General features: G+C 42.4%; 1 pseudogene; it reads right to left on the bottom strand.

Moving 5' to 3' along the window:
* Nucleotides 1,853–2,468, bottom strand: ATP5MC1P8 (ATP synthase membrane subunit c locus 1 pseudogene 8; annotated as a pseudogene).

Raw genomic sequence — 9,500 nt, 5'->3', positions numbered from 1 at the left:
AGAAACCAAATTGTCTGTAGACAATGTGATTGTCTATGTAGAAAATACCAAATAATTTTTTAAACCTTTCTGTAACAAATAAATGAGTATAGCAAGCTTGCAGGATAAAACGTTAATATACAAAGGTCGACTGTTTTCCTTTTTTTTTTTTTTTTTTGAGGCAGAGTCTCACTCTGTCACCCAGGCTGGAGTGCAGTGGTGCAATCTCAGCTCTCTGCAAGCTCCACCTCCCGGGTTGACGCCATTCTCCTGCCTTAGCCTCCCAAGTAGCTGGGACTACAGGCGCCCACCACCACGCCTGGCTAATTTTTTGTATTTTTTTTAGTAGAGAACGGGGTTGCACCATGTTACCCAGCATGGTCTTGATCTCCTGACCTTGTGATCCGCCTGCCTTGGCCTCCCAAAGTGTTGAGATTACAGGCATGAGGCACTGTGCCCAGCCAGTCGACTGTTTTTCTTTGTTTCTTTTTTTTTTTTAATCATACTTTAAGTTCTAGGGTACATGTGTACAACATGCAGGTTTGTTACATATGTATACATGTGCCATGTTGGTTTGCTGCACCCATTAACTTGTCATTTACATTAGGTATTTCTCCTAATGTTATCCCTCCCCCTGCCCCCCTCCCCATGACAGGCCCTGGGGTGTGATGTTTCCCTCCCTGTGTCCAAATGTTCTCATTGTTCACTTCCCACCTATGAGTGAGAACATGCGATGTTTGGTTTTCTGTCCTTCTGTCCTTGTGATAGTTTGCTGAGAATGATGTTTTCCAGCTTCATCCATGTCCCTACAAAGGACATGAACTCATCCTTTTTTATGGCTGCATAGTATTCCATGGTGTATATGAGCCACATTTTCTTAATCCAGTCTATCATTGATGGACATTTGGGTTGGTTCCAAGTCTTTACTATTGTGAATAGTGCCACAATAAACATACATGTGCATGTGTCTTTATAGCAGCATGATTTATAATCCTTTGGGTATATACCCAGTAATGGGATACTGGGTCAAATGGTATTTCTAGTTCTAGATCCTTGAGGAATTGCCACACCGTCTTCCACAATGGTTGAACTACTTTACACTCCCAACAGTGTAAAAACGTTCCTATTTCTCCACATCCTCTCCAGCATCTGTTGTTTCCTGACATTTTAATGATCTCCATTCTAACTGGTGTGAGATGGTATCTCATTGTGGTTTTGATTTGCATTTCTCTGATGACCAGTGATGATGAGCATTTTGTCATGTGTCTTTTGGCTGCATAAATGTCTTCTTTTAAGAAGTGCCTGTTCATATTCTTTGCCCACTTTTTGATGGGGTTGTTTTTTTCTTGTAAATTTGTTTAACTTCTTTGTAGATTCTGGATATTAGCCCTTTGTCAGATGGGTAGATTGCAAAAATTTTCTCGCATTCTGTAGGTTGCCTGTTCACTCTGATGGTAGTTTCTTTTGCTGTGCAGAAGCTCTTTAGTTTAATGAGATCCCATCTATCTATTTTGGCTTTTGTTGCCATTGCTTTTGGTGTTTTAATCATGAAGTCCTTGCCCATGCCTATGTCCTGAATGGTATTGCCTAGGTTTTCTTCTAGGGTTTTTATGGTTTAGGTCTAACATTTAAGTCTTTAATCCATCTTGAATTAATTTTTGTATAAGGTGTAGGGAAGGGAGCCAGTTTCAGTTTTCTACCTATGGCTAGCCAGTTTTCCCAGCACCATTTATTAAATAGGGAATCCTTTCCCCGTTTATTGTTTTTGTCAGGTTTGTCAAAGATCAGATGGTTTTGTTTCTAGAGCCTGCTTTCTTCTGCACTGACTTCATTCTCAAGCAAGCTCTCCTGGTTTTTGTTTGTTTGTTTGTTTTTTTGAGAAACATTGTGTTTAATGGTAAAGCTTAGCACACCCCAGCACCAGGAATGATGTGGAGTTGCAGCAGCAGGGACACGCAGGTGACCATCAGGGAGGGCAAAGAGGATGAGGAAGGCAGCCATCAAACCGAAGAGCCCCAAGTCCCCAGGCAAAGCCCAGAATGACACAGGAGAAGAACTGCTGCTTGAGAGACGGGTTTCTGGCATAGCCAATGATCAAGCTACCAAACACTGTTCCAATGCCAACCCCTGAACCAGCCACACTTACTGTGGCTGCCCCAGCACCAATCAACTTGGCTGCTGTGTCAATGTTCCGTGAGACAACACTGGTCTAAAACTCCTGTCTGGCCACCTGCAGTGGGGAGCTGCTATAGGAGGGCTGTTTAGATGAATTCTCTGGGCTATTCAAGAAGGAGGCAGACACAGGCCTGATTAGACCCCTGGTACAACAGCACATCAGAGCTGGAGAAATGAGTAGTGCCCCGGTCTGCATTTTTTCAGTCTGCACTCCCACTGCCCTGCAGCCCCTGCTCAGCCCACAGCGCTCGCCTGGCTCAATGTGACTGACTTACCTCCCAGCTTTAGCCCTTAGCAATGGCAGCTCCAGGCTTATAACATCCTATTAATTATTAGTCCAGGAAATTTCCAAGGGTATATATTCCTTATCCTGGCTTGGATTAAGTGCCCATCCCTGGATCTGGGGGTGGGTATTATACCTCCTTGAACACATAGCCAGAAAATATAGGAGGCAATTTTCTAGAGGAAAATGACAGGACTGTTCCATAAGAAGAAAGAGTAGATATAGGGTAGGCAGAAACCTTCACACGTTCCCTTTAAACTCTGTGCAGACAATGTTTTTTGTTTACTGGAAAGTTATTTCCCCTCTACTCCCACCCCTGCCAAAACTGATGATAAACTGACTTTCCCCAACTCTTTGGGTAATATAAAGTTTTCTATAGTCCTAGGCTGCTCACTTTTTGGTGGACCAATGTATGGATTTGTCTGCTTTGATTTCAGTATGTAGCTTTATTTATTTATTTTTTTTGAGATGGAGTCTCACTCTGTTGCCCAGGCTGGAGTGCAGTGGCGTGATCTCGGCTCACTGCAAGCTCCACCTCCCGGGTTGACACCATTCTCCTGCCTCAGCCTCCCGAGTAGCTGGGACTACAGGCCCCCGCCACCATGCCTGGCTATTTTTTTGTATTTTTAGTAGAGATGGGGTTTCACCGTGTTACCCAGGATGGTCTCCATCTCCTGACCTCATGATCCACCCGCCTTGGCCTCCCAAAGTGCTGGGATTACAGGCGTGAGCCACCACATCTGGCCTTCAGTATGTAGCTTTAATTTACATTTGCCACATCCTTGTAACTTAATGATTTTTTGTTTTTTGCTTTGGTTTCTCAATAATGCTTGTGAAAATTAAATTCTGTAGTCCACATTATAAATTAATGGGAATGCCTCTATTTGACACATGAAACAGTTACTGCCTGCTGCTATGGTTTCCACTACAGATGCAAGAAAAGAGTATCTTCTTGCTTTCATGGGACTGCTGCTGCCATGATTGAATGAGGAATACAGGAGGAATATAGGAATACAGGGAAAAACAGAGAGAGATCTTTTGCAACTCAGAAATAACCTTGAAAACAGTGAAAAGCCTGAACCCATTTTACTCCAAAGAAGGATTTAAAATTTAAGTTTACATGAGAATTGTTCGAAAATTTTTTCCCATATACCCTAAACTTCTGGTTGACTTCACTTTTAAAAGCTTAAAAGTTAAAACTAAAAAAAAAAAGAAAAAAGAAAAAAAGGGACTAGTGGGAATTATGGCACATGTATAAATCCAACAATTAACCAACATTTGGGAATACCTACAAGGCAAACCTTTGCTTTACTATATTTTCAACACAATTAAAATGTTTTAGGTGATAATCTACCTCTTTAGTCAGTTTTACCAAAGCCCAATTCCTAACAGTAGGAATGAGGAAAGGAGAAAAGGAGGTGAAGAGGTAACAATATTCTGCCACATGTATGGCGAAAAGCCATCTAAGACACACTTTCTCAGTCCCGGTCTGAATAGGAGAGTGAAGTTCTCAGCCTTAGTAATTGCCACCCCATCTGATTAAACCACACCCTCCTTAAGTCACTCCAGGAAATCAAGCATGGACAGAACTTTCAGGCCCCGATAGTCTGCTTAAAGCTGAAAGTTTACCTAAATAATGTTTTATGGGGGAAAAAAAGAAAAATGCACACATATATGGACTACCCAGACAAGTAGTTCCTCTGACATTATATTTGGAGACAGAGAGGTAAGGATTTCAGAAAATGTTCTCCTTTTGCTGAGCTACATTCAAGTTGTGGCTACAGAATCAACAATTAGACAGCCAACCCCTAAGAATATGTGCCAATAACTCTCTCTTGCCAGCTTCTGTCTTGGGTCCCAAACCCACTCTATGCCACCCTGACCCTCACTCCATATCCCTCACATCCACTAGCATCTCTCAGTGAATTGGCTGGTTTAGATGTGGGCCCTTACTCCATCCCTGGCACTGGAACTAACCCTTTATCAGTGGGTACATGTAGCCTCTCCCTTGTTGCGATTTTCTAACCAGAAACTAGTTATCCCACTTCTGACTCCCACTGCTGATGCCTGACCACATCCCTCCCACAAGCACACACAGCCAGGAAGGCAGCCAGGTAATCTCTGCAGCCAAATTGCCTGTTTGAATACTGTTGTGTTAAACATTAGCTGTGCAGCCTCTGTTTCACCCCTGTTCCTCAGTTTCCCTGCTTGAAAAAAATGGGGCTGATAATAATGGCACCTACCATCATTATTATGAAGATTGGGTGAGTTAATAGTGGTTGCTATGCTTAAGACAATGCCTTGTACATACTGCTGTGTGTGTTGATCAAAATAAGAGCCCATCCAACGCTGTCTTCTTGAGACATGGCTGTTCAGTTTCTAATCTGCATTCCCAAAACCAGAAAAGGAAAACTGTCAAGGATAATGACAGGCTGAGGGGGGAATTGAGCAAAAAGGAAACCTGGAAAGGACGAATGAAAAGGCTACTACATAGCTCATCCCAGGGAAGAGTCAGCATCAAACCTGAGCAAGGTCCCATAAAGCCAGCATCTAAAACCTCAACTCTACTTACAGCAATGGAGACAATGGAGAGGGAGGCAGAAGGCTCCAGTGAGAGAGATAACAAGCTTCTGTCCATTTAAGAAAAAGAAATCAGACAGAAATCTGGTTGTAGCTACCAAGATGCTTCCTGGAGGAAGGTGGCTGACTTTTTATCTGATGTGTCACTTGGTGAAATAATTGCTGGCAATAATGGTGCAATAGCAGCCTGCTCGGGGTACTACTTATCCGTGTCTGTTCTATCTTTCAACTTCAAAGTTCCCACTGCCTCACGGAGCACATCAGAATGACACCACTGTTGTTAACAGCAGTGGCCTAATGCAACACACAGAAGTCAAGTGATTTCTCTAGATAGGCAAAATTAAACACACACACACACACCACACACGACTCATGGAGAAGTGAGGTTTGTGTGCAGATCCTGACACTCCACTTTAATTCGCAAGTTGGGAGAGGGAAGTGGATTGTAGGTTTAGTCACCTTCAGGAAACAGTAGAATCTGAGATGGGCAGGGGCACAGGAGGTGGGACACAGAAGTATAATGCCAATAAATGCTCACCGTCACTGGCCATCAGAGAAAGGCAAATCAAAACCACTATGAGATACCATCTCACGCCAGTTAGAATGGCGATCATTAAAAAGTCAGGAAACAACAGGTGCTGGAGAGGATGTGGAGAAATAGGAACACTTTTACACTGTTGGTGGGACTGTAAACTAGTTCAACCATTGTGGAAGTCAGTGTGGCGATTCCTCAGGGATCTAGAACTAGAAATACCATTTGACCCAGTCATCCCATTACTGGGTATATACCCAAAGGACTATAAATCATGCTGCTATAAAGACACATGCACATGTATGTTTATTGCGGCACTATTCACAATAGCAAAGACTTGGAAGCAACCCAAATGTCCAACAATGATAGACTGGATTAAGAAAATGTGGCACATATACACCATGGAATACTATGCAGCCATAAAAAATGATGAGTTCATGTCCTTTGTAGGGACATGGATGAAATTGGAAACCATCATTCTCAGTAAACTATCGCAAGAACAAAAAACCAAACACCGCATATTCTCACTCATAGGTGGGAATTGAACAATGAGATCACATGGACACAGGAAGGGGAATATCACACTCTGGGGACTGTGGTGGGGTCGGGGGAGGGGGGAGGGATAGCATTGGGAGATATACCTAATGCTAGATGACACGTTAGTGGGTGCAGCGCACCAGCATGGCACATGTATACATATGTAACTAACCTGCACAATGTGCACATGTACCCTAAAACTTAGAGTATAATTAAAAAAAAAACATAAAAATAAAAAAAAAAAAAGAGATTACAGAAATGGAATTCTCTTTCTGGTTTTCTAGTAATTCATTCCCATATTGGGAGTGACCAGGTCTCTTTATGAAATCAGAAAAAAATATGAATTCAATTGTGATTAAGAATGCAAGAGACTTCTACAGTTTCTCGCCTTCATCCCACTTCAGATAATGACTTGTACCATCACATCTTTACCTGATCCTCTCAACCTCCACCTCTCCTGTTATTCACTGCAGGAAATTGACACTTAGATATCATTGTATCCTTAAGTCTCTTAGCCTTGGATAAGGCTCCTCATCACCTCCCTCCATCCTGGGATCATTGCCATCCTATGCCCAAGTGGTTAATGTGGTTTAATCAAATCAAGGACACTCTCTTAGCAGTTTCTTCTCAAACTCCTCAGTTTCATCTTCTTCTTGACCTTTTGCTCACGTGTCCTGCTGATTTCATGAATCTTAGATTAACACACCCCTCACTTCTCTTAGCATCCATCCCCAAGCTTGTTACCAAGAGCTCACATTGAGAATCCTGTGGCCATGATGATGAGCTACTTTGCGTGCTTATAATTTCCAACTTCACCTGGACCCATAATTCTCTGTAATCCATTTCCTCATCTCTGGTCAATTGCTTTTCATATCTCTATAGCATCGCTTCAGCAAGTTTAACGTGCATAATAGCCAATTGAGGAGCTTATTAAAACACATATTTCTGGGCCCCATTTCAAGAGATTCTGATTCTGTAGGTCTGGAATGGAGCCTGAGAATTCATAGACAAGAATTTCTAACAAGTTTCCAAGTGATATTAACCACATTGGTCCATGGGCCACACTTTCAGTAGCACTAATGTTAAGCTCCTGGCATATAGTAAATTTTTATTAAATAATTATTTTTAAAAGACCTCAATCCTTTCCTTTCCCCATTTCAACAGACCTCTTTTACTTGGCAATGACAAAAAATGCTTTAAAATATAAACTTTTAAAATGTACTTTCTTTCCTTCTTCAACTTATGTTTTTATCCATCCCTAAATTTTCACTTTATATGCCAGAAGAAGTAGTGACTGGATTGCTACTTCTTAAAAGAATAGATGTGTGTTATTTTGTTCCGCTTTGCTATAAAGAAACACTTGAGCCTGGGTAATTTCTTTAAAATCAGGGTTTATTTGGCTGATGGTTCTGCAAGATGTACAGACATGGCACCAGCATCTGCTCAGCTTCTGGTGAGGTCTTAGGAAACTTACAGTCATGGCAGAAGGTGAAGGGAGGCTCAATATATCACACAGCAAGAGAGGAAGCAAGAGAGAGAAAGGAGAGGTCCCAAACTCTTTCAAACAAACAGATCTCACATGAATGAGCTGAGCAAGAACTCACTCATCAACAAGGGGATGGCACTAAACCATTCATGAGGGATCCACGCCTATGATTCAATACCTCCCACTAGACCCCATCTCCAACATTGAAGATCACATTTCAACATGAGATTTGGAGGCAACACACATCCAAACCACAGCCAGATGGGAGCAATGTGGAGTTTCTAGAGGAAGACTTGGGTCAGATCTTCACCTGATTTGCTCTGTCATCTGCCCTTAGCACTGCAGAAAAACAGAAGCAGGGAAGATTAGGAACACCCTCCTGGCCAGACCCAAAAGCCTGACACAGCTGACCACTTTCCCCTTGACTCTAGAAAACAGGAATGTGCAATCCAAATGGAATAGCAACATGAGCAAAGATTCTTGACCCAGGAAGACCTAAGTTTATGTACAAGCTCCATCATTGCTCAGCTGCATGGCCTTTGGAAATCCACTTAACTGCCTCCCCTAGATGCAGTTTTACTGATGATTGCAACACAAATCTTTGAATGGAAATTTAACAGTGCAAAAAATAGAATTTCCTTTTTTTTTTTTTTCAATATTTTAAGCTCCCATTCTATTGGCAGGCAAATAGACAACCTTAATCTTTTCAGGGCTTCCCCACCACCCCACAAGGCTCTTCTTTGTTCTCAGGGACTCAGAGAGTTCAGGTTTGGGTTGAGGATTTCTCATCTTGGGTTAGTCAGGATCCTCCCACACTGACATCTGCTGAGATGCCTATTCCCATCTGGTCTTTTGTTGTGAGTCCATGAAGGTTGCTTTGGAGCCATCTCTCATTCCTGAACCCAAGGCCTCCTCAGGCTTACCCCTGTCTGAGCTAGCTCATGCCTTTCTTGAGTGTATAAGAAGCAGTCCACTGCTACATTGCTTTATAGGGCAGTAAGAAGCTCAGCGGGTTTTTAAAGATCTTCCTCACTCCCATGCCACTCTTGCCTTGAATCCTTCTCCTCTTTTACCTTGCTGGGACATGAGGAATCCTGTGAGGCTGCCTGTGACGCATCAATCAGCCTGGGACACACCATGGTCCCAGGCCTTTCTGTTTCCCAGAGCACTGAGAACCAGAGACACAAATCTCCCTCCTTTCAAATTTCCTAGAGCTATTTATTTTTGAACATTAAAAGTCTAGGCTTTTTAAATCAAAAGTCCGTTTCTCCTACTTTCTCTTGTAACATCTGTTCTATGAGCCAATGGATGCCACATGGGAAAAGGCCTGTGGGTACAAAGAAATTGCAGGAAAATGTCAGTTAATATTTTGAAATCTTCCAATCACATGTATAAAGTGGAATAAAATCATTTTTAAGCTTACTGTGGGGATTAAATGGCATAACCCGGGTTAAGTTCTTTGTAGCATTTGATTTAAAATAAATACTAGGTAAATATACTTTCCCTTCCTTTAGTTTCTCCTACCTTTCTGACCATTTTGGCTTTTACTCAATGACTTTTCTTCCCTTACCTTTTCCCTCCCTTCTCTTTAAATCTAGTGGTTCCTTAAGTGTTAAGCATTTGTCTCTGAAAACATTTTTACAATTCTCCTGAACACCTCACAGACACCTCACATTCATCATGTCAAGAACTGCATCCAGCTGGGTGTGGTGGCTCATACCCATAATCCCAACACTTTGGGAGGCTAAGGCGGGTGGATCACGAGGTCAGGAGACCGAGACCCTTCTGGCTAATACGGTGAAACCCCGTCTCTACTAAAAATACAAAAAATTAGCCAGGCATGGCGGCGTGTGCCTGTGGTCCCAGCTACTGGGAAGGCTGAGGCAGAAGAATGGTGGGAACCCAGGAGGCAAAGCTTGCAGTGAGCC

This window comes from Homo sapiens, chromosome 10 (assembly GCF_000001405.40).
Source record: "Homo sapiens chromosome 10, GRCh38.p14 Primary Assembly".
NCBI lineage: Eukaryota > Metazoa > Chordata > Mammalia > Primates > Hominidae > Homo > Homo sapiens.
This window is presented reverse-complemented; position numbering and strand designations above follow the sequence as displayed.